Source organism: Homo sapiens, chromosome 17 (assembly GCF_000001405.40).
Source record: "Homo sapiens chromosome 17, GRCh38.p14 Primary Assembly".
NCBI classification, from domain to species: domain Eukaryota; kingdom Metazoa; phylum Chordata; class Mammalia; order Primates; family Hominidae; genus Homo; species Homo sapiens.
In genome coordinates, this window is record NC_000017.11 from 50,507,720 (window position 1) to 50,532,294 (window position 24,575).

The window sequence follows — 24,575 nt, forward strand, 5'->3', positions numbered from 1 at the left end:
CCCCTTCACTATTTGAGGTACAATTTACTGCCTGACTACTAGTGCTAAACTTTGGGTTGGGGGCAGGGCCTGAGGCAGCTCCTGCTCTCATACATTCTGAGAGCCAGTTTGACAATAGGCAACTACACAAAAAACCGAAATAATCCCAGAATGCCTCAGGGCTCCAGGGGAAGGCGAAAAAAGCGGGTGCGTTTATAAACTTAAAATAATCAGAGGCAGCATCTCCAAGGACTGTGAGAATGCCCCAAGTCAGGGCAAAAGTTTTGGCTGGTTTGGGAAGTGATGAAAGGCCAAAGTGGCTGCAGCGAGCGTGGACCCGGGAGGTCTCCAGGCGCGTTGGTGCGAGTTGGGGACGGCAGGCAGGGACACCTAAAACCTACGGTACGCCACGAAGGGGTTTCAGCACGTCCTGAAAGGCCCGATCCCCCCCCAGAACCGCTGTGAGGGGGGCAGAGGGAGGTCCCTCGACAGGATGTGGCCTTAGTCGAGGAAGGCGGGAAGCAGGGGCTGGCACCCCCGACGCCCCACCCGCCCCCCGTGGCCTAGCAGCAGGGCGGGGCGAGGCGGGTCATGCACCCCTACCAGCCAGCCACTCCCACCCAGCCCTCGGCTCCCGCAACTCGCGGGGGTCCTCGCCCGGGTCCCCCGCCCCGCCCCGCCCGGCTGGTGACGTCACGGCGCTCGTCGGCGCCGCCTGTGGCGTCACAGGCCGGGCCCGCAGGGCTTTCTAGGGGTCCGTCGCTCTTGAAGCCGCCGGCGGCGGGCGCGTGCGCGGCCCGATGAAGAAGGAGGTTTCCAAGCCGTCTCCGCCCAAGTTGATCGGTGGATGCGCGCCCCCGCGCGGGGCACCGGTTGCTGTGGACGCAGTGGCGGCCGTTGGCTGGCGGGTGCGGCGCAGCCTCGGTGTCTCTGGGCCGGCGGTGCAGGGCAACGTTTCATGGTGCCGGGCGGCACCATGAAGTCTCTAAAGAAGGATTCCCGCCTCAGAATAACTCCGACCAGATTATTAGAGGCCTCAGAGAATGTCAAAGGTTGGCGCTGGCTGCCTTGGGCGCTCGGGAGAACCCGAGAGGGGAAGCGGTCCCCGGAAAGAGTTCAGGACACGGGGCCTGGAGGATGGGGATGGCACCAGGGATGGAGGAAAGATCACGGGGAAGTGGGGTACTGGGCATAGGACCCTTAGGGATGGGGGGCAAGGCAGGAAGAGCCTACAGCGCACTGGGCCTTGGGGATGGGGACATAGGAAGTGGGAGACTGACAGAGGGGCCTCAGGGACCACTGGCTGGGGAGATGGCCTTGCGCTACCTCTAACCACATCTTAGGGTGGCATGCAGGAGGCAGGATCCCCGGACTGGATGAAGTGCAGAAGAGCCAGGAAAGAGTTTAAGGGTAGAAGGGCCAGGAATTGGGGTCCTTGGGAAGAGGAAAGAATGAAGTGTTGAAACCAGCCACCTTGATGGGATTATTTGGTAGAGGAGGGTCGGGGAGCGGGGCAGGCGTCACTTAGGATTCCTGCTGGAAAAACCCAGAAGAAAGGCCTTGCTTGGCTAGTTCTCTTTTTGACTGCCTTTTCCTACCACGTGCACTTTCCAGCTGGATGACACTTATCCAGCTCCTTTAGCCTGGAAAGAATCGCTAGATATGACTGCTTCCTACCCTCTACAGCTTTCTTCTGGTTGCACCTGGGAGAGCCACAGGGCGTCTGATAGCGGACTGACTTCCATGGACATGTTCTCACTTGCAACCCACCCCCTTTTGATCTTTTTTGGCTGTTTCCATTTATTTATTTTTAAATTTAATTTTTAGCTTTTTTTTTCTGTGTGTGTGTGTGTGTGTGTGTGTGTGTGTGTGTGTGTTTGTAAACAGGGCTCTCGCTGTGTTGCCCCAGCTAGTGTCAAATTCTTGGCCTCAAGCGATCCTCCTGCCTCGGCCTCACAGACTGCTAGGATTCCAGGCATGGACCACTGCGCCCAGCCTATTTTTGTTTACTGAGAGCTGATTTTGTGTGGTACTGTGGCTCACCAGAAGGGTATCGGTATTAACTGTGTGACCCTGGTCCTCAAGAAACTCAGTCTAATGAACACCTGGAGGAGTAACCTGACAAAGGTAGAAATACAAATGCTGTGATGTAGGTGCCCATCGGGCTTAAGGGGGCTCAGAGCACCTGAGCCAGACCAGGGATGGTTGTAGGGGTACGTCTTCTGAAGAAGGTGACATCTATGGCAGACAAGAAAAAAAAGGAGAGGTTTGCTTCTCTAGGTCTAGGAAGCAGCATGAGTTTATGGAACTGTAAATGTGGGAACCAGAAGAGGCTGCACAGGTGGGTAGGTCAGGGGCCAGACCATGAAAGGGCTTTATGTACTAGGTCAGAAAGCCTGGATGTGCTCTTGCAGGCCCTGGGGAGACCCAGCCTCAGAGTTGTGAAAGCTCATTGTGAGGAGAGGGGACCCTCAGAAAACTAACAGGAGCTTAGTCGCTTTTCAGTATGGCTTTATGTTTCTTCACGTATAAAAGTCCAACGTTGAGCCGGGCATGGTGGTGCACATCTGCAGTCTCAGCTGCTCAGGAGGCTGTGGCAGGAGGATTGTTCCAGGCCAGGAGTTTATGATCACACCTGTGAATAGCCACTGCATTCCAGACTGGGCAACACAGTGAGACCCCCATTATTAAAAAAATAAAAGTCCAATGCTGTTTTATGACATACTATATATATATATGTATGTATTTTATATATATTATGTATATGTGTATATATGTGTGTGTGTGTGTGTGTGTGTGTGTATATATATATATATATATATATATATATATATATATGTATTTTGAGACAGGGCCTCGCTCTGTCACCCGGGATGGAGTGCCGTGGTACAGTCATAGGTCACTATAGTCTTGAACTTCTGGGCTCAAGTGAACCTCCTGCCTCAGCCTCCCAAGTTGCTAGTATTACAGGTGCACACCACCATGCCTGGCAAATTTTTTTTTTTTTTTTTTTTGTAGAGACAAGTTGCCCAGGCTGGTCTTAAACTCCTGGGCTCAAGCGATCCTCCCACCTTGGCCTCCCAAAGTGCTGGGATTACAGGCATGAGCCACCGTGCCTGGCCCGTGACATACTTTTTAATAGTTGAGAGAGAGGGAATATCTGGTCTCCTTTCACAAGGGCAGTCAAGGGCTTTCCTAGCCACTGCCTCCTGCTCACATAGTTTCTGGGAGATCGTATCAGATTTGAACTGCTGTAAACAAATCAAGGAAAGATTTTTCACTGCATATTTATTTTTAATAAGCAGAAAATTTAGTTTGTTAATTAACCCTTGAGTTAAGAACATGCACCAGAGTGAGGAGGGAAAAAAAATGAAGTGTTTAGCATGCAAGATATCTTTTTAAAAATATCTCAGGGGAGCCTCTAATGTTGTAGAGCAGTACTCTCCCCCAGCCCCCATACAAGGCAGCTAATGACCCAGTGTCATTTTGTAACCTTGTGCGATGTTTCTCCAAAGTCTCTGACTCATAAGCAAAAAGGAAAGCAAAAATAGTGACTTAAACCTGTTTCTCGGGACCTGAGAGCCCTTTTGAGTCCTAGTACCCTCCCTTCCTGCTATGCACCACCTCCCCACCGCTGTCTTGTTGCTAAGAAACCAAGAACCCTCCTAGCAATATTAGATTCCCCTCCCCAACCAATTAAAGCTCTGCCCTAGTAGGGACAGCCCCTCCATGGTTCCCCCAGCCCAACCCTAAGGTCAGAATTTCCCAAAGACTTTAATCAACACTAAAAACGAATAATACTTAGATAAAACAAGAAGCAGAAGAAATAGAGTCCGGGTTTCTTCTCCCTCCATAGTTTCCCCGCTCCGTATCTCGCTTCCTACCCCCACCTGAGCACCTTGCTTCCAGCCCTCTGGTCCAGCTCCGACAAGAGACTGACTACCCCGTGCAAGCGGGGTGGTCTCTTTTACCCCTCACTGTCAGCATCAAGGGAGAAATGTCAGCTGGGTGGCTCACTAGGAGCCCTATCAGCTTGGGATTCCAGACCAAAGAACCAGAAAGAGCTGGGCCTGTATAGGCTCAGTAGTCAGACATACCTCAGCCCTGTGGAGTCTTCCTGCAGGTCCTAAAATGATCCCTGGGGCTCTTCCTTCCCTGGTCTCCCCAGCTTGCCTCTGCCTCTCCGGTCCATCTGGCTCTCTTCATCTGATGAATCATTCTGAAATGCACCTGTCATCAACTCACTCCCCTGAACCAAAGATCAGATGCCTGAGCCATGCTTTACAAAGCTGTCATGCCCTGGTTTCCCTCTCATCCCCAACATCACCACCTCTCCACCTCCCCAGCAAGTTTTCTTTTTTTTTTTTTTTTGAGACGGAGTCTTGCTCTGTCGCCCAGGCTCTGGAGTGCAGTGGTGCAAACTCGGCTCACTGCAAGCTCTGCCTCCCGTGTTCACGCCATTCTCCTGCCTCAGCCTCCCGAGTAGCTGGGACTACAGGTGCCCGCCACCACGCCTGGCTAATATTTTTGTATTTTTAGTAGAGACGGGGTTTCACTGTGTTAGCCAGGATGGTCTCGATCTCCTGACTTCGTGATCCACCTGCCTCGGCCTCCCAAAGTGCTGGGATTACAGGCGTGAGCCACCGCGCCCGGCCCCCCAGCAAGTTTTCTGTGTTATCGTGCCACTCACGTGCCATGCTCAGCCCTGCCCCTTGCTTTGCTTGGACTTTGACTTCACCTGGAGCATCTTGGTTTGCCGCTGTACCTGTGCAAAGCTTGCCTCTCCTTTGCAGCCTGCCTCAGCCTGTGGAGCCACCTCTGCAGCTGTTCCTCTGAACACTTCTTCAGAGCCCTGAACTGTGTAATCCACATGGATCTGTTCCTTTTTTGATGTCTAACCAAACCTATTGCCTGTACCGCAAATGTAGGAACTCCTCTAGCTATGATTGGTGTGTGTTCCTGTCACATTTTTCAGTACCTCAAGAGAAGGAGCCATATCTTAACCTTTTATACCATCTTTGTAGTTTATAGCACATAGAAGGGGCTTGGTAAGCACTCTCGAGGAGCAATTTAACTTTAAGATACATATATATCCCTGGGCGCACTGGCTCATGCCTCTAATCCCAGCACTTTGGGAGGCCGAGGTGGGCAGATCACCTGAGGTCAGGAGTTTGAGACCAGCCTGGCCAACATGGTGAAACCCTGTCTCTACAAAACATACAAAAAATAGTTGGGCGGCCGGGTGCGGTGGCTCATGCCTGTAATCCCAGGACTTTGGGAGGCTGAGGCAGGTGGATCATATGAGGCCAGGAGTTCAAGACCAGCCTAGCCAACATGGTGAAACCCAGCCTCTACTAAAAATACAAAAAGTTAGCCAGGCATGTTGGTGCATGCCTGTAATCCCAACTACTTGGGAGGCTGAGGCAGGAGAATCGCTTGAACCTGGGAGGCAGAGATTGCAGTGAGCCGAGATCACGCCATTATACTCTAGCCTGGGCAACAAGAGTGAAACTCCATCTCAAAAAAAAAAAAAAAAAAAAAAGCTGGGCATGGTGGCGCATGCCTGTATTCCCAGCTACTCGGGAGGCCGAGGCAGGAGAATCACTTGAGCCCGGGAGGCGGAGGTTGCAGTGAGCTGAGATCACACCACTGCACTCCAGCCTGGGGGACAGAGTGAGACTCCATCTCAAGAAAAAAAAAAAGATGTATATATCATTTTAATGAATATTTTAATAACTAGAACATACCACTCCCTGACTGTATGCAGTAACAGAGCATTTATTGGACTACATTAAAGATAACTTTCTCAGAATAACCTTAGACCAGAGTTTTACTATTTCAATCTAAAGCAAACATGAAAGATTAGCTTCTCTATCACTGAAGGGATGGGAGCTTTGGCCCCCAAAAATCTTCGGCAGTGTTGAAAGTTTCTATTGACACGTGGTAATTGTGCACCCACCAGTAAAAAGCACACATCTGGAGACGTTTAATCACTTGGAAAGATGTCAACCCAGCCAAGGTTATGGATAAAGGAAGCAAATGTCCTAGAAAGTACAGATAATACCAAAATATTTACAAAAACAGACCTTCAGCTGATCTCAGTTCTCATAGGCTGCCACCCACTTTGGTGAGTTTGTGTAGAAGGGAGAAGGGAGGTAGAAATCAAAGCCCAAGGCTGCATCCCCACACATGGCGGCAGATGAGACTGGAACTCGGGGTTCAGCCGGCAGCCCTGCATGTGTGTTTGTGTGCACAGAGCCATGCATTTAACAGACAGATACTTCCAAACCTCTGCTGACCCCATTACAGAAACAGACTGTGGATGATAGGCTGAATTTATTATTTTTTCTAATAGAAAAACAAAAATTATTTTTAAGGATAGGTTCTCCTGTGTTGCCCAGGCTGGTTTTGAACTCCTGGCCTCAAGCAATCCTCCCATCTCGGCCTCTCAAAGTGTTGGGATTACAAGCGTAAGCCACTGCACCTGGCCAACAGGCTGAATTTAGAACTATGTTTGGAATGATTTTGGTGTGAGTTTTTTTGGCCACCAACTCTATGGAAATTTCCTAAAAAAAGTTGGATTTTGTTAACCAAAACACCTGCCTTTATGTTTTCGTGATATTGCCTCTTAAAGATTACGGTGCTGTAAGAAGCAGTGGATAAAACCAAATTTTGTTTTAAACTCCCTAAAGGCCTCAGGACTTAGGTTTTCTTTTGATTGTTTTATGTAGGGCCTTATATCAAACCATTCTGAACCAGAGGGAAAATGACAGGGTTGACCAGCCAGAGAAATGAGATGTGTTTGATCCTGTTAAGCCACCTCTGTGAAAGGAAGGCAGGGAGTGTGTCCTCGTTGGAGAGTGACCTGTGACCCCCTTCTGCCCCGGGTGTTGTCAATGTCATGCTGTGGCTGCCACAACGGACTCTTAAATACATTCATACACTCATCCTCAGTCATGCAGGTTTTTTTTTTTCTTAGAGACAGGGTCTTGTTCTGTCACCCAGGCTGGAGTGCAGTGGCACAATCTTGGCTCACTGCAGCCTTCACTTCCTGGGCTCAGGTTATCCTTCCCCTCAGCCTCCCAAGTGGTTGGGACTACAGGCATGTACTACCATGCCTGGTTAATTTTTTGATTTTTTTTATAGAGCCCAGACTGGTCTTGAACTCCTGGGCTCAAGCGATCTGCCTGCCTTGGCCTCCCAAGATCTTGCAACTCTTAATCCATTCCTTGGCATGCCATTGCCCATGGGGTAAGCCTTCACATGGCTCACTGAGCTCTTCACGATATGGCGGCTGCTGCTGTCTCTGGGCTCTGCCTCTTCCCTCCCACCTCACCACACTCCAGCTATTCAAAAACACATGCTTTGAGTTCCAGGGATGTGCTCCATTCTTTGCCACTATGCCTCTTTATGTTATTTTCTTTGGAATGCCTGTTCCCCAGGGCCCTTTCCTTTCTCCAGCTTCTTCAGCTCTATTTAAACATCCCTTCCTTAGGAAGCCCTCCCTGACTCCCCCACCTCCCACGCCCGCCGACTCAGGGCTGGTTGTTCCCCCCCACCATGTTCCTGTAGTTACTCTGGCTCAGTCTGTTTCACGGTCTTGTTTCCCATTGGGCATGTGCTCTTTAAAGACAAGCTCTGGCATGTATCCCTAGAACCTAGCACAGTGCCTGGCATGTAGAAGCTGCTTAAACAATCTTTATTAAATGAATATGCAATAAATGGCCAGTGGTGAATGCTCTGCTTCCCCCACAGAGATTCTGCACTTTAACCAGTGTCTTGTGAAACCCTGTGCCTTCACCCAGAAGCATGGATCAGTGCCAGCACTGGAGGAGGCTGGCAAAACATCTAGTTCAGTTGTCCCAAACCACTGTGCATCAGAATCACCTAGGGAGTTGAAAAAAGTACAGCTCCCTAGGCCCTGGCTCCATGCAGTAGTCAGGAAGCTGTATTCATAAAACTCCCCCAAAGATTCTGAGGCAGACATTGGACTAATAACTTGGGAACCACTGATTTAGTCCAACTGACTCTTTCTACACATGGAAAGCCTGAGGCCTAGAGAGGTTAAGTGATGCGTACCCAAGACTGTCCAGCTTATAAATAGCATAGCCTGAAATGGAACATCTTTTTTGTATATTAAAAATAATCTTTTTTGTACAGATGGAGTCTCAACTATGTTGCCCAGGCTAGTCTTGAACTCCTGGGCCCAAGCAATCCTCCTGCCTTGGCTTCTCAAAGTGTTGGGATTACAAGCTTGCACCACGGCACCCGGAATGAAACATCTTTTTGTTTTGTTTTGTTTTGTTTTTGAGACAGAGTCTCACTCTGTTGCCCAGGTTAGAGTGCAGTCACACGATCTCAGCTCACTGCAACCTCTACCTCCCGGGCTCAAGTGATTCTCCTGCCTCAGCCGCCCGAGTAGCTGGGACTGCAGGCATGGGCCACCACACCTGGCTAATTTTTGTATTTTTAGTAGGGACGGGGTTTCACCATGTTGGCCAGGTTGGTCTTGAACTCCTGGCCTCAAGTGATCCTCCTGTGTCAGCCTCCTAAAGTGCTGGGATTACAGGCATGAGCCACCACACCTGGCCTGAAACGAAACATCTTCTGATCTCAATTCTGGCTACAGAAGTCTTAGTCACTGTGGTGAGCCAGGGGCTGTGGGTAGGGGGACCCTCCAGAGAGAACTCCCATTGCCCCAGCAAAGTGCTACCCAGGCCACCTTGGCAGCCTCTGCTATCTATCCAGCTGGTCAGCTCTGCCCCCCACCATGGAGTCTAGTATATATTTTTACTTTTATTTTTGTATGTATATATTGATATATACAGAAGGAGCTCTTTAAGGACTTAATAACTTTCTGCTTCTCTTCAGAAAAGAAGCGGGCAAAGGGACCTGAACAACCCACACCCACAATTCAGGAAGAGCCTGAACCTGTTAGCAATGTCCTACAAGGAGATGACATTCTTGCCTTGGCCATTAAGAAGGAAGACTTGAAGGAGGTGAGGATGAAGCCCAAGCTTCCCTTACCATAGAAACGTTTCCCTGCCGGCAGCCTGAGTGGTCTAGAACACCAGCCATGTCCCTACTCATGGGGAGTGTCTAACTCCATGGAAAAACCCACTGAACACAGATTCTTTTCACTTTACCACCTTAAGGAATTCACTGTGTTGTCTGTTTTAACATTTCTGAGATTCATATAGAACCACAGGGGAAATGAGATGATGAGGTATCTTGCTTCCCATAGAGGTAGGTGCCATCATTCCCATTTCACAGACCGGAGGATGAGTTTAAGGAGCCAAGGTACAGCTCTGGGTAAAGCTGCTAAACCCTAACCCCATGCTTTACCTGGGAGAGTCAGCCATCTCTCACCCAAACTGTCTGGAGGCATAAGATGTTCTTTTTTTTCCCTCCAGGATATTACTAAGTCACATATCTGTTACACAGGCATTTCCTTGACAGAACATATGGACAGAGCTGAAGAAACAGATCTGTCAGCCTTCAGGAACTCCACCCAGAACTAGAACAGAAGAGATGGGTGGTGCTCTTCCTCCTGCCACCACAGGTGGAATTCTCCTTTGTTTTATTTCTTTTTAGCAACACATTCCTCGCCTTACTGAAAAGGAAGATAAACGTGTCATCACCCAGAAATTTATCATCCGTAAACTCAAACCCATGGATCCTAGGAGGAAGGTCTGCCACCTTGTAGCACGTCCTGCGAATCCTGATGAAGCCACAAAGCCTCTGGACTACTCCGGTACACCCAGTCTCAGCCCTGGCTTCACTGTCTTTCAACTCATGGGTCAGCCTCAAGAGAAACCCAGTCTCCATCAGAAAGTTGCCCTCTTGAAAGTTGTCCACCCACAGCTTCTTTCCCCTTTCTTCTTTTATCCTCCCAGGTCCCGGTGACAGCTTCGATGGCAGTGACCAGATCCTGCCCCACCACATCTTGGGGAGTCTCCAGGATTTTAAGAGAATTGCACTTGCTCGAGGGAACACCCAGGTTTGTTTGCACAGAACTACCCGGATGAGAGCAGTCACTGAAGTCATTTTGGTCTCCCACCTGACACAGTCAAGCAGGGCTGGGGTTAAAGAGACAGTCTAGTCTGTAGGTTTTGAGTCTGAGTTGATAAGGGACCCTCTCCCAGAATAGTTGGACACTTCAGGCAGCTGAAGCTGGCTTCAGTGAAGTCAGGGATTTACTGTAAGGATTCCAGAGATTGCCTCATGGAACCCAAAGGCGGGAGTACCTGGGTCTGGGTAGACTGCACCCAAAAAGGCATCAGGACTCAGGGCCCACATGCCTCATTTCCCTCTGCTCTGTGCACTGTCTTGATTTTCCCTTCTCTGGAGACTGGCCTGCCCTCCTCAGTCCACGTGGTGGAGGAAGGTGGCTTCCCACTGCTTCCTGGGCCACGGGAAGATTCTGTATCTTTCCAGCCTTCCCATCATGCAGTGCTTCACCTGTCTCTTCCCCTTGCTTCCCTGGTTCCAGGCTGACTCTGATTGGTCAGGCGCTAAGGGGCCTGGGGCCCTGTAAGAATGCTTCCATTTACACATGGGTGAAGGTGGCAATCAACATCAGTTGTGAGGACAAATACACTAGATGTTGACCCCAATCTTGAAACAGAAGTTCCCTTTGTGGGGGAGAGTGGACTGACAGCTGCTTTCAGGGCCCCCTGGTTCTGGGATTTATTTTCTGTCACTGGCTACTCTGGAGTCCTGAAGAGGAGGGACTCTCAGCGCAGTGGGATAACAGCACGGGTTTAGGCCTCGGGAAATGTGTGCTCAGCCCTGCCCAGAGCCTTCTTACTGCCCTCCACATACCTATGTTGTACTTTTCAGCTGGCTGAGCGGATACCTACCTCACCCTGTCTGATGACCCTCATCTCTGCTGAAGGAGAGTCAAAGCAAAAAGCCCCAAAAGAAGAGAAGAGACCTCCCTGGGCCCCACCTCCTCAGCACAACTTTCTGAAAAACTGGCAGCGTAACACAGCCCTGCGGAAGAAGCAGCAGGAAGCCCTCAGCGGTGAGCAGAGCAGACAGGGCTCCCGCCCGGCCTCCATCTGGCAGCAAGGCTCTGCTGGGTTGTTTGCTCTCCTCCAGAGCCTGGCCTTGGGCTGACCACATTTGTGCTTTCACTCCCAAGAGTGTCTCACTCTGAAGCTTCAGTGGATCCTGAAATCAGCCCTGTGAGGGAGGCTGCCCGATGCAGACTGCCAAGGCCCCTGTTTGTTCTGGTTCGGCAGAGTGGCGGCAATCTTGCCTCTCTCTCTAGAACACCTAAAGAAGCCAGTGAGTGAGCTGCTCATGCACACCGGGGAGACCTACAGACGGATCCAGGAGGAGCGGGAGCTCATTGACTGCACACTTCCAACCCGGCGTGATAGGAAAGTGAGGCCACCTGTCCTAAGTGCCCGGGGGCAGGGGGGTCCATGGAGGAGGGGGCGGGGGCAGGTGTCTGGACACAGGGATGCTGGTCTCAGGTGGCACAGCTGGGGAGAAAAAACCTATCCATTGCAAAACATCATTAGGCCCTCAAGGCCTTTACTAAATTATATGATTAGTCAGTAAAGTTATTCAGCCTGTGGTGACCACACAGGTAGCAAGTTATTAGAGTAGTCTTAGTGTTTGTCTCCTAGGAGCTTAGACTGAGTGGAGCCTACACCCTAAAGAGAGAGGTTGAAGAGTCCCCCACCTTTTTTTCTGGTAGACCAGTGCAGTACCTGTACCAACCCACACCATCTGGCTGGGGGCAGGTAAAGATGACAACAGGGTGTCCAGAAAACACGGCAGTGGATGCTTCTGTTATGCAATCACGGCAGCAATGAATTCCCCAGAGGAAGCATCTGTAGCCTGTGGTGGTGCTCTTGTCTTCCCACATCTCCACCAGCATCTGGCTGAGGTGTCCTGGTAATCTGACTCACCTTTCCTTCCTTGCCAGAGCTGGGAGAACAGTGGGTTCTGGAGTCGACTGGAATACTTGGGAGATGAGATGACAGGTCTGGTCATGACCAAGACAAAAACTCAGCGTGGCCTCATGGAGCCCATCACTCACATCAGGAAGCCCCACTCCATCCGGGTGGAGACAGGTGAGGCGCAGGGCTGTAAGCCAGCTAGCATCTTGTGCCTGGCCCGGAGGCAGGGTAGTGTGGAAGTGGCCAGCATAGCTCTACAGTGAAACAGGCCCAGGGCCTGTTTCTCTGTGGTTCTCTGGGGTCTTAGGCAAGTCCCAGAGTCTTCCTGAAGTCCGGCTCCCTCTTCTTTTTCTTCAGTAAAACGGTGAGAGAGCTAGGAAACTGGAGTGCAGCCATAGAGCTGCCGTCCAGTGTGGAGCCTTGAGCCACATGCCGCTGGTGAGCGCCTGGATCGTGGCTGCCCTGCCTTGAGAAGTGCTGTCACTGTCAACTGGACACTGGCTTTAGTGTGAAAACAATATATTTTATTAATCATTTTTATATTGATTACATGTCAAAATGACAATATTTTTGATATACTGAATTAAATAAACTATATTACTAAAATGAGGGCGGGCACAGTGGCTCATGCCTATAATCCCAGCACTTTGGGAGGCTACGGCGGATAGATCACTTGAGGTCAGAAGTTCAAAACCAGCCTGGCCAACATGGTGAAACCCTGTCTCTACTAAAAATGCAAAAATTAGCTGGGCATGGTGGTGCGCGCCTAGAATCCCAGCTACTTGGGAGGCTGAGGCAGGAGAATTGCTTGAATCTGGGAGGTGGAGGTTGCAGTGAGCCAAGATCATGCCATTGCACTCCAGCCTGGGCAACAAGAGCAAAACTCTGTCTTAAAATAAATAAATAAATAAATAAATAAACAAACAAACAAACTATATTACTAAAATGAATCCCACCTGTTTCTTTTTTCCTTTTTCAGTGTGGCATCTAGAAAACTTTCAGTGACACGTGTGGCTTGTGCTTGTGGTTTGCATTCTGTTTCTCTTAAGCAGCACTGCTTTAGAGCCTGCCAGGCTGCCTGGGTTCAGGTCCCAGCTGTGTCGTGTTAGTGAACCCCAGAGTGGTTGAACCCCTCTGGCCTGTAGTTTCCTCATCTGTAAAATATGCACAGGGTTGTGATAGGGCTAAATGAGATATGAAATGTATTAAGAGGTTCTGGCTCATTGTTAAGCACTCAATAAAAGGTAGCTGCTGTTATTATTTTTATTATAATCCAAAGATTTGGCTATTTGGAAGCTAATTTTTCAGGAGTCTTGTGTAGGGCTGCTGAGGAGGTATAGGACAGGAGAACGGGAGTCTAGCTGCCACAGGGAAGCTGTATTTTTAGTCCTTCCTAGAAATGGTGTTGGGATAGGCACTCTCAGAGCCCTTGAGAAGTGGGTGAGCAAGGGGACATGGCAGCAGCCTGTGCTGAGGGTCCTTGGACCTCATGCTAGGATTACCAGCCCAGAGGGACGCTTCATACCGCTACACCTGGGATCGGAGTCTGTTTCTGATCTACCGACGCAAGGAGCTGCAGAGAATCATGGAAGAGCTGGATTTCAGCCAGCAGGTTGGTATGGCCTCCATGCCCCAGTCAGAAGCCCCTTGGGGCGATGCCTGTCTTCAGTCAGCTCATCTTACCTTTCTCCATCTCTCGGAGGATATTGATGGCCTGGAGGTGGTGGGCAAAGGGTGGCCCTTCTCGGCTGTTACTGTGGAAGACTACACAGTGTTTGAAAGAAGTCAGGGAAGCTCCTCTGAAGACACAGCATACTTGTGAGTGCAGCCTGAACCCTGGGGAGAGAGGCTGAAGAGTTCTCCAGCACCTACCAGTATTAAAGAGCGGGCTTCCCTCCCTGAGATCAGGGTGCCTCTAGCCTAGCTTCTGTCCAGTGGTTGCCACCCACTCCTTGAACCCATTCCAGCACCTGTGCTGGCTTTCCTATTGCCATCTGCTCCTTTCCAATAACCAACTCCTAATGGGGATTTCCCAGACATTCCCTTGCTGGTCAACTGAGGGCTCTCTAGACCCTCCCACTGCTATGCATCTTGAATGCCTCTGGCATGGAGAGTCTGTGTATTTCTGTGTACTGTGAGTGGCTCTGGCAAGAGGGCTTAAAGAGTCTGTGTGTTTCTAAGAATCTCCCATCTACAGCAATGGGTCAGGAGGAAGCTGCGTGGGAGTGGAGTTGATCATACTCCATTGCAGGGTAGAGCTGGTTGTGTTTCTAGGCTTCCTGGTGACCGTTTCTGTGGGGTTCCACATGGCATGACTGTGGCAGCCTAAGAGAAAATAAGTCATTGGCTTTTCTTACAGAGGCACATTGGCCAGTTCCTCTGATGTCTCCATGCCTATTCTCGGCCCTTCTCTGCTGTTCTGTGGGAAGCCAGCTTGCTGGATCAGAGGCAGTAATCCACAGGACAAGGTAAAACAGCCTCCACCACACCTGCTGGGAGAGCCTCCCTCAGGGGTGCAGCCCTGAGGTGACTGGCAGTTACCAGCAGCCTGCACAGTCTCCTGTTTGGGTTTTTATCTGGTCGTGCATTCAGCACGTCTGAAAATGGTGACAGCAACACTGACTTGAGCAAGAATAAAATCACAAGGCTGCGAGTGTCATAAGCCACTTGGGGCTTATACCCAGCCCCCAAGCATGTAAACAAGCAAACTCAAGTAGGTATGGCTCTAAGAAGGTTCCAAAATATTCTTCAGATGCTAAGGAATAGAAGTGTTCATTGGATATAAAATATATTTTATCTGGCCAGGCGCAGAGGCTCACGCCTGTAATCCCAGCACTTTGGGAGGCTGACGTGGGTGGATCACCTGACATCAGGAGTTCAAGACCAGCCCTGGCCAGCATGGTGAAACCCCATCTCTACTAAAAATACAAAATAGCAGGGCGTGGTGGTGGGCACCTGTAATCCCTGCTACTTGGAAAGCTGAGGCAGGAGAATCGCTTGAACCCGGGAGGCGGGGGTTGCAGTGAGCTGAGATCACGCCATTGCACTCCAACCTAGGTGACAAGAGCGAAACTCTGTCTCAAAAAAAAAAAAAAAATATATATATATATATTTGTTTTATCTTCTCTTCTTGCTATTGAGGGTAACCTCAGAGACAACCACGCTGGAGTAGGATACCACTCTGTGTGACAGTGGCCAAGCCCTGGAGGCCTGGGACACGAGACTTGCAGTGCTAAAGCCAGAAAAGTCCTGGGCAGACCAGATGAGTTGTTCACTCTAGGCCAGGGTTTGCAGCAAAGACATTTCTTGTCCCTCCTCCTTCCAGAGGCAGGTTGGGATTGCTGCTCACTTGACCTTTGAAACCCTAGAAGGCGAGAAAACCTCCTCAGAACTGACTGTGGTCAATAATGGCACCGTGGCCATTTGGTATGACTGGCGACGGCAGCACCAGCCGGACACTTTCCAAGACCTTAAGAAAAACAGGATGCAGCGATTTTACTTTGACAACCGGGAAGGTACTCGGGAGAAGCCACCCTATGTGCTAGCTCCTGTCTGGGGCTGGTTTTGTCCTCCGTGAGACATCAAAGTTTAGTTATGGCCCAGCTCCTGTAAGTTTGAGCCCTGCTTCCCTGCCTTGTCCCTCTCATTCCTTCTGTGAAATGTGTGGCCTGACTACTCATGTCTGTTGAGAGACTGATGGAACTTGAGAACCTGGGGAGGTGAGCCACCAGGGAGCAGAAGCGTTCTAGGGGCTCAGTTATCTAGGTGCACAGGCCTGGGGCTAGGATGGCCAGCTGTCTCTGTTTGCCTGGGACTTTAGCACTCAAATTCCCACATTCCAGGAAACCTCTCAGCCCTGGGCAAACTGGGATGGTTGGCCAGCCACCTGGCCTGGGACTCAGTTAACTGCATGTAGGAGCATGTAGGCCTGGGGCTCAGCCAGCTCCTGCATGTTGAAAACCTCGGGTCTCTGTCCCTCTCAGGTGTGATTCTGCCTGGAGAAATTAAAACATTTACCTTCTTCTTCAAGTCTTTGACTGCTGGGGTCTTCAGGGAATTTTGGGAGTTTCGAACCCATCCTACTCTATTAGGAGGTGCTATACTGCAGGTCAATCTCCACGCGGTCTCCCTGACCCAGGACGTTTTTGAGGATGAGAGGAAAGTACTGGAGGTAAGGGACCCAGGACCATGGCCCCTGTGGACATCAGGTAGGGTATCCTGGTGTTCTTCCTGGCAGTGACTGAAGGGATCATATTTCTCCCAGCCTAAGAGGAGAATTGGATTTTTAGCAAACAGGTAACTACTCTTGCTCCACAAACACTTCCCAGGGCTTGTGATTTAAAAGATGGGTGCGCTGGCTAGGCAGGCATGGAGCAGCTTGCAGCAATGCCATGCATGGCCCCACTGAGTTAGAAAGAAATTAGACTGAGCCTTAAGAGGCAGACTGTAAAGTACAATGTGTGGCCCTATGTACTGGTCTGTGTTTTGTTCATCGCTGTCTGGTACTACACAGTGGAGTTGCATTTAAGCGACAAGACTTCAAAACCAGGGAGAATAATTAATTAATACATAGCAGCATGAGTCTGCCCACCGTCCCACTCAATCAGCTGACAACTCGAGTGAGTGTGAGGTGGGAGCTTGGAATCTGTCGTCCGCAGTCAGTTTCACAGTGTGGCCATTTGAGCCGTGCATCCTGGGATTTGGTGGAAAGCTGTGCTTTTTTATTCATTGTGGCCCCCAATCACAAGGCCGGCTCCTTCATGTGGGGCTCAGCCAGTGGTGATCAAAGGTAATTTTGACAATGTCATGCTTGCTTTACTCATTGACTGTACAACCCATGTCTCACACAAGGCGCCCCTCCCGTGTTTCTGTGACACTCACTGAAGCCTGATGAAGGTTCACCACCATCCTCAGAAGCACCCCCACTATGTGCCCTGCCCCTTCTTCCTAATCTGGTGACATGCTAACTGTGTGACCACCAGGCCCCAGGCAGCAGCAGCTGTCACTGGAACTGGCCCTCCTCTGGATCCTTTTCATCCATTTTTAGGGAACAAGGATGTCTGGAGAGACTCAGAGGTTTTCAGGTCTTAGAACAGGCGTGTGTGTGTGTGTGTGTGTGTGTGTGAGAGAGAGAGAGAGAGAGAGACAATGGCAGGAACTCAGACCCTAGGAAGGCACAAAGTCCTGGGGGCTCCAACTTCCTGAAGGATGCATTGGTTTTGATAGCCTGGGCTGCCATCCTCTGCCACCTTCCCTTTTGCAGAGCAAGCTGACTGCCCATGAGGCAGTCACCGTCGTTCGCGAAGTGCTGCAGGAGCTGCTGATGGGGGTCTTGACCCCGGAGCGCACACCATCACCTGTGGATGCCTATCTCACCGAGGAAGACTTGTTCCGGCACAGAAATCCTCCGGTGAGGCCCAGCGCCAGCCCCTGCCCCCTCATGTGTGCCCTGCGTCAAGGGTCCCCAACCCGCAGGCCGCACAGCGGCAGGTGAGCAGTGGGTGAGCCAGCATTACTGCCTGAGCTCTGCCTCCTGTCAGATCAGCGGTGGCATTAGATTCTCATAGGAGCACGAATCCCATTGTGAACTGCGCATGCGAGGGATGGAAATTGTACACTCCTTATGAGAATCTAACTAATGCCTGATGATCTGAGGTGGAAGTTTCATCCTGAAACCATTCCCCAACTCCCTGCCATCCGTGGAAAAATTGTCTTCCACGAAACCAGTCCCTGGTGCCAAAAAGGTTGGGGACTGCTGCCCTAGGTGACAGTAATAGCAAACTCTTTTATGTGCCAAGCTCTGTTCTGCGCATCTTCCATGAGTAACTCACCTCTCTTCACAGCAGTCCTATGAGATGGGTACTATTTATTTTTGTTTATTTTTTTAAGAAATAGCGTGTCATACTGTCACACTCCAGGCCAGAGTACAGTGTCCCACTCATAGCTCATTGTGACCTCAAACTCCCCGGCTCAGGTGATCCTCCCACCTCAGCCTCCTAAGTAGCTAGGACTACAGGCATACATCACCATGCTCAGCTAATTTCTCTTTTTTTTTTTGGTAGAGATAGGATCACTCTATGTCATACAGGCCGGTCTTGAACTCCTGAGTTCAAGTGATCTTCCTACCGTGGCTTCCCAAAGCACTGGGATTGCAGGCTTGAGCCACTGTGCCTGGCCCTTGTACTATTTATGTCCTTATTTACATTGAAGAAACTGGGGCCTGCACCCCAGCCTCCCCCTCACATGCCTTCCCATCCTCTGCTGCAGCTGCATTATGAGCACCAAGTGGTGCAAAGCCTGCACCAACTGTGGCGCCAGTACATGACCCTGCCCGCCAAGGCTGAGGAGGCCAGGCCAGGGGACAAGGAGCACGTCAGCCCCATAGCCACAGAGAAGGCCTCTGTGAATGCTGAGCTGTTACCACGCTTTAGGAGCCCCATCTCCGAAACTCAAGTGCCCCGGCCTGAGAACGAGGCCCTCAGGGAATCCGGGTCCCAGAAGGCCAGAGTGGGGACCAAGAGTCCTCAGCGGAAGAGCATCATGGAGGAGATCCTGGTGGAGGAAAGCCCAGATGTGGACAGCACCAAGAGCCCCTGGGAGCCGGATGGCCTTCCCCTGCTGGAGTGGAACCTCTGCTTGGAGGACTTCAGAAAGGTGCTTCCAAGACCCTGGAAGGCAATGGTAGAGAATATTCCTGCCTCGAACCAACAAGGGAGGACCCAGCAGCCCCTCTTGCTCTATGGGCAAAGAAACAAAACCTGAGAGCCCAGAGAAAGTGATCTCTTGGGTTATCTATCTATCTATTTATTTATTTATTTATTTATTTTTGAGACGAAGTTTTGCTCTTGTTGCCCAGGTGGGAGTGCAATAGCACAATCTCGGCTCACTGCAACCTCCACCTCCCAGGTTCAAGCGATTCTCCTGCCTCAGCCTCCCAAGTAGCTGAGATTACTGGCATGTGCCACCACACCTGGCTAATTTTTTTTTTTGATGGAATCTTGCTGTGTTGCCCAGGCTGGAGTGCAGTGGTGCAATTTTGGCTCACTGCAACCTCTGCCTCCCGGGTTCAAGTGATTCTCCTGCCTCAGCCTTCCCAAGCAGCTGGGACTACAGGCATGCGCCACCACATCCAGCTAGTTTTTGTATTTTTGTAGAGACGGGGTTTCGCTATGTTGGCCAGGCTGGTCTCAAACTCCTGACCTCGTGATCCACCCACCTTGGCCTCCCAAAGTGCTGGTGTTACAGGCGTGAGCCACCACGCCAGGCCAATTTTGTATTTTTAGTAGAGACGGGGTTTCACCATGTTGGTCAAGCTGGTCTCGAACACCTGACCTCAGGTGATCCGCCCGCCTCAGCCTCCCAAAGTGCTGGGATTATAGGCGTGAGCCACTGTGCCCAGCTGGGTTACCTGTTTTTGTCTGGGGTGCCCAAGCTGCTATATTCCAGGAGGGGGGCCTACTCTCTGACCCTGGCAAATCTTGGAGAAGGGGTTCATAGGTACAGATTTCTGAGGGGGGTCCCTGGCTCCCACCAAAGGCACCCAGACAGCTCTCCATAGCTGCATCCCCTCCTGGTTCCTGGTCCCCTGCCACCCATCCCCACATCACCATGCCCTTCACTAGAGGACACAGCCTTGGTGTCCTGGTGCAGAATGGTGCCCATGACCCTGCCAGGCAGTGATGGTGCTCCCTGATGAGAACCACAGAGAGGATGCGTTGATGAGGCTCAACAAAGCAGCCCTGGAGCTGTGCCAGAAGCCAAGGCCATTGCAGTCCAACCTCCTGCACCAGATGTGGTAGGTGCCCTGCCAGGAGAGCTGCCCCATCTCCTTCCCTTTGTGGCATCTGCAGGGGTCCTGGGCAGGCAGTCCTGGGACTCCAGGGGTCTGAGCTTCCGTTGAGCTCAGGTTGCTAGAGCATGCCGCAAACATTCCACGTTCTGGAACCCTGCAGTGCCTACTGCTCACTGGAGAGCAGTCACAGCAGATCAAACACCTTATCTTTTTTTTCTTCCCCTTTTTGCCTTGTTCCTTCTCAGTGAGCAGGGGAATGGAAAAAGGAGAAGCCAGAGGGCAGGAAGAAGACGGGGGGCAGATTCCAATAAAAGCTTCATTTCTCTGTTGTCACCCTCCCCTGTACCTGTTTGGAACTTGCTTGTATAGGCGTGGGGTCCTTTTCAAGGCCCTCAGGACAAGCCCCAGGAGCCTTATGCTGGAAGTCTCATGCAAGGTTCAGCCCCTCCAGTGCGACTGGACCCAAGTCTGGCCCTGGCCTCAAGCCCTCTGAAGTAGGACTGAATTCATGCAGGCCTCCTAACCCTAGTCCTGGGCCATTTTTTTCTTGGTTGCCACCCAAGGCAAGCCAGAACCCCCTCCAAGCACTTGCCCTGGCGGGGAACAGTGAGGATGCTGGCTGTTCAGGGGTGTGGCATTTCCACAGCAGCTCGTGGCACCAGGGTCTTTGAAGGGAGGGACCCAAGCCTCTGCAGGTTCAAGGACAAATGAGGAGTGATGGCATTTCTCCACTGTGTCTTGCCCTCTAGTTTGCAGCTGTGGCGAGATGTGATTGACAGCCTGGTGGGCCATTCCATGTGGCTGAGGTCTGTGCTGGGCCTGCCTGAGAAGGAGACCATCTATTTGAATGTGCCTGAAGAGCAAGGTCAGATCTTGTGCAACCAACCACACCTCTGCATAGCCCTCCTCATCTCTCTGAATGGACAAGCAGCAGTGCCTGGGCCAGTCATACTCCTTTGGTGGAAGCTCTGCTAGGTTGAGCCCATGGAGTAGGCCCCTTACCCCTTTCTGTCCGCTGCCAGGATGTGGTACCCAGAAGCTACCTTAGTGACCACCTTGGTTTAGTAATCCCAGCAAAGTTAAATGACTTATCCATGGCCATTCATGGCATGGCAGAGCTGGGACCAGAACATAGGCACCACAGTCCTGTTTCATGAAGCCACGCGCCTACCAGGGCTCAAGGCTATTGCCCTTTGCTTTTCCACCTCCCCTCAAGCCTCCTCACGTACCTGCAGCATCCACTAGGCTGTTGGGGGCCTGCCATATTTTCTTCCACCCACCTCCCTTAGATCAAAAATCACCTCCTATCATGGAAGTGAAGGTACCTGTGGGGAAAGCTGGGAAGGAGGAGCGGAAAGGAGCAGCCCAGGAAAAGAAGCAACTGGGGATCAAAGACAAAGAAGACAAGAAAGGAGCCAAGCTGCTCGGGAAAGAGGCATGCTGGGGCGTGGTCTGGGCCAGGTGGGGCTGGGGAGGGGATTGGAGGGGCTGCGGAGGTGGGGGCTGTGGAGGTGGGCATGTGCCCAGGCTCTCCCAGTGAGCTACTGTTGAGGACATCCTTGGCCTACCTCTGGAGCTCCTGAAGGCTATGTGTGTCTCCCTCCCCCAGCAGGACCGTCCCAACAGCAAGAAGCACAAGGCAAAGGATGACAAGAAAGTCATAAAATCTGCAAGTCAGGACAGGTTTTCTTTGGAAGACCCTACCCCTGACATCATCCTCTCTTCTCAAGAACCCATAGACCCCCTGGTCATGGGGAAATACACCCAGAGCCTGCACAGTGAGGTGAAGGGAAGCGCCCAGCAGCCATTCCCCTGCCTCCCACCTGCCTTATTCATTCCGTTCAGTCTGCAGACAATAAGTGCCCACTCCATCATGGTGGAAGCAGAGCTGCTTCAGGAAGGGCATCCTCGTGTGTGAGACAGGCCTCATGAATAAGGAATGCGCCTAGCATGTTAGGTGATGAGTACGACGGGAGAGAAGATAGACCAGGCAGGGAATGGAGGCACAGAGGCCTCAGTGAGGAGGTGACAACCCACAAAGATTTGAAGGGAGGGGAAGGGTGGCCAAGTAGACGTCCAGTAAAGAGTGCTCCAGGCATGGGGAGCAACTGCCATAGGAGGGAGGGGCCAGAAGGGAGAGGGCAGTAGTGGGGAGCAGGTCATAGGGGTGGGGGATGGTTTGCAGGCTATTGTGAAGACTTGGGATTTTTCGGAGTGAAATGAGAAGTCACGCAAGGTTTTGAATAGAAACGCAATAGGGTCTGATAGGCTTTAGAAGGTGGCTCTGGCCGCCCTTTGGAGAACAGACTCTAGGGGAACAGAGAGGAAGGAAGCCCTTCTCTTTCTTACTCCCCGTTAGGTGCATCCTGGCAGATGCGTTCCTTGGGAGAACACCATGCAGGGTGCATTCCCATCAACTGTAAGAGTTTGAAGGACTAGAGAGACTTCATCCTAATCCGTTCTTAAGTAGCAGGTCCTTAGAAATTCACCCAGGTTTTCCGTTTTGTTTGTTAGTGTTGTTGTTTGTTTTGGAGGGGAGGTCCACAAAGCCATTTTCAATATGTCAGTATGTCTATTGGCGACGTCTTGCCTTCCTCTAATGTGGATAGCTGGGGAGCTGGGATTACATCATGTATTGTGGTCACACTCTGGATCTCATTTGATCAAAAGTTCCATTTGCCACTGGTGACATCACTAAGATATCAGATGGTTGATGGGGTCTAGAAAGTAATTAAAGGGCTCTGAGGACCCATGGGGGTCAACGTCAACCCTTCCATGGCTCTTTGATATTAAGAATCAACTTGCAGACCAGGTGCGGTGGCTCGTGCCTGTAATCCCAGCACTTTGGGAGGCCAAGGTGGGCAGATTGCCTGAGCTCAGGAGTTCAAGACCAGCCTGGGCAACATGGTAAGATCCCGTTTCTACTAAAAATTCAAAAAATTAGCCAGGCATGGTGACACTCACCTGTAGTCCCAGCTACTTGGGTGGCTGAGGCACAATAATCGCTTGAACCCGGGAAGTGGAGGTTGCAGTGAGCCGAGATCACGCCATTTCACTCCAGCTTGGGTGACAAGAGTGAGACTCTTACCTCCAAAAAAAAAGAATCAACTTGCTGGCCAGTGGCTCACACCTGTAATCCTAGCACGTTGGAAGGCTGAGGCAGGTGGATTGCTTGAGCCCAGGAGTTCGACATCAGCCTAGACAACACAGGGAGACCCCATCTCTGCAGAAAAAAAAAAGAATCAACTTGTCTGGGCTTGTATGATCCAACCCCATTGGAGGGGTCAGTCCCAGAGACCTTTCAGTCTGTGGATACAGGAAGGAAAATTGGCCTCCAGGAGGCCAGAGTAGAACTGGGGCTGAGCCCAGGCCCACCCCAAACGGCTAAATGGGCACCGCTCCATGGGCTCCCTGGAGTTGCCCCTTGAACAACTTAGCTCTAGTATCTCCATATGTCAAAGGTACCAGCGCAGGGCCACCTCCCCAGACTGGTTTGAAAAGTAAAACTGCAAAAGCAGGTGGATTGCTTGAGCCCAGGAGTTCGAGACTAGCCTGGGCAATGTGGTGAAACCCCATCTCTACAAAAAATAGAAAAAAGTAGCCAGGTCTGGTGGTGCACGCCTGTAGTCCCAGCTACTTGGGAGGCTGAGATGGGAGAATCACCTGAGCCAGGGAAGTCAAGGCTGCAGTGAGCCATGATCACACCACTGGACTCCAGCCTGGGTGACAGAGTGAGATCCTGTCAAAAAAAAAAAAAATCTGCAAAACCAAAAATTATTTCACAAGAACTTTGAACTTGTGAAATTCTTTCACAAACAACTGGTTTCTTTCCCCTCTCCAGCTATTCTCTCACAGCATAGTTCATATATAGGTGCTTCCCACAGAGTAAACTCTGCCTGTGATGTTGTCCCGTTCTTCCAGGTCCGTGGGCTGCTGGACACCCTGGTGACTGACCTGATGGTCCTGGCTGATGAGCTCAGCCCCATAAAGAATGTCGAGGAGGCTTTGCGCCTCTGCAGGTGACTCTCGGGCCCAAGCAACCTTCTGGAAAACGGGTTAATAAATAAATCAATAAAGAACCTTCAAGTTTCTACTACTTCCGTGTGCCTCTGTGTCTTGCATGATGGATCTTGGCTAGGTCAGCTCCTGATCCAGGTCCTCCCATGTTCCACCTGCCCTCAGATCCCCTCCTGCCAGCTGCCAGAGCCCTCCTGCAGGAGGACAGACAGACATAGCTGGGGAAGTGATGTGTGGGATGCCAAGCAGAGGAGCAGATTGGTAGCAAGACAAGGAGTCAGGTGACAGGACAGTGTGTCACCTCTGGTAGTCCCTGCCTCTGGCTTCCTTGGCCCACACTTTCAGGGTCGTGCTTCCTGGAGCCAGGTCTTCCCGAAGTGTCATCACCAAGTATGACAAAGTGTGAGATGAGGAGTAGAACTAGACCCATGGGACCTGGCTCCCTGCCATCTCCCCTCTTCAGCTGGGTCCCAGGGCCCCAATTCAGTCCCTGAAGATCATGCTCACCACACCTCTTCAGCTCTAGAGGCCACATCACCTTGTTATTTCGGGGTCTAGTCTGCCTTATCCCCCTCCTCATCTCAAACTATCTGGCCTTGAGCCATCTTTCTGCCTTAAAAACAGCTGCTGATCTTCATGCTACCTCCCTTGCTCAGGGGAACATGAAACAGGCTAGAAATGGCTCTCAGAAAAAAAGGTATTGTCAGCTCAAACTCAGGCCCCTCATTGTCTTCTGTCAGTCATAACCATTTGGGGCTGGGCTCCCTGTGTGAAGAGCACTCCAGGCTCCCAGAGTTTGAAGAACAACTTTGGTTTTTGGGTGGGTGGGCATCCTTAAGTGGGCCTCAGGCATCCTCCAGCTGAGATGCAGG

General features: G+C 51.1%; 1 protein-coding gene across 11 annotated transcripts, besides 6 other annotated features; it reads left to right on the forward strand.

The window, feature by feature from the left end:
• The first annotated feature begins 58 nt into the window (after positions 1-58).
• Positions 59-23,782, forward strand: MYCBPAP (MYCBP associated protein). 11 transcript variants are annotated; one of them, NM_001366294.2, is made up of 19 exons: positions 720-1,031; positions 8,851-8,978; positions 9,574-9,778; positions 9,876-9,979; positions 10,822-11,005; positions 11,255-11,370; positions 11,921-12,068; positions 13,391-13,506; positions 13,597-13,712; positions 14,254-14,362; positions 15,220-15,409; positions 15,878-16,065; positions 17,158-17,304; positions 18,162-18,548; positions 19,568-19,689; positions 20,436-20,551; positions 20,976-21,121; positions 21,296-21,469; positions 23,608-23,782. In NM_001366294.2, exons 1-19 carry the CDS (start codon positions 956-958, stop codon positions 23,707-23,709), a joined length of 2,874 nt encoding a protein of 957 aa, NP_001353223.1. In that variant the 5' UTR covers positions 720-955; the 3' UTR covers positions 23,710-23,782. The 11 variants fall into 11 exon arrangements, 10 of the variants coding, with proteins under 10 accessions (XP_047292864.1, NP_001353223.1, XP_005257783.1 ...); XM_005257726.3 differs by having other exon boundaries at positions 21,299-21,469; NM_032133.6 differs by having other exon boundaries at positions 9,574-9,733; positions 21,299-21,469.
• Positions 426-715: a silencer, noted in NCBI's record as "silent region_8700". NCBI's record gives its function as "represses an Ori minimal core promoter by ATAC-STARR-seq in GM12878 lymphoblastoid cells {active_cell/tissue: GM12878}" and the evidence as "EXISTENCE:reporter gene assay evidence [ECO:0000049][PMID:35858748]".
• Positions 736-795: an enhancer, noted in NCBI's record as "active region_12384". NCBI's record gives its function as "activates an Ori minimal core promoter by ATAC-STARR-seq in GM12878 lymphoblastoid cells {active_cell/tissue: GM12878}" and the evidence as "EXISTENCE:reporter gene assay evidence [ECO:0000049][PMID:35858748]".
• Positions 816-945: an enhancer, noted in NCBI's record as "active region_12385". NCBI's record gives its function as "activates an Ori minimal core promoter by ATAC-STARR-seq in GM12878 lymphoblastoid cells {active_cell/tissue: GM12878}" and the evidence as "EXISTENCE:reporter gene assay evidence [ECO:0000049][PMID:35858748]".
• Positions 3,387-3,586: an enhancer, noted in NCBI's record as "active region_12386". NCBI's record gives its function as "activates an Ori minimal core promoter by ATAC-STARR-seq in GM12878 lymphoblastoid cells {active_cell/tissue: GM12878}" and the evidence as "EXISTENCE:reporter gene assay evidence [ECO:0000049][PMID:35858748]".
• Positions 3,687-3,776: a silencer, noted in NCBI's record as "silent region_8701". NCBI's record gives its function as "represses an Ori minimal core promoter by ATAC-STARR-seq in GM12878 lymphoblastoid cells {active_cell/tissue: GM12878}" and the evidence as "EXISTENCE:reporter gene assay evidence [ECO:0000049][PMID:35858748]".
• Positions 12,947-13,006: a silencer, noted in NCBI's record as "silent region_8702". NCBI's record gives its function as "represses an Ori minimal core promoter by ATAC-STARR-seq in GM12878 lymphoblastoid cells {active_cell/tissue: GM12878}" and the evidence as "EXISTENCE:reporter gene assay evidence [ECO:0000049][PMID:35858748]".
• Positions 23,783-24,575: the final 793 nt, after the last annotated feature.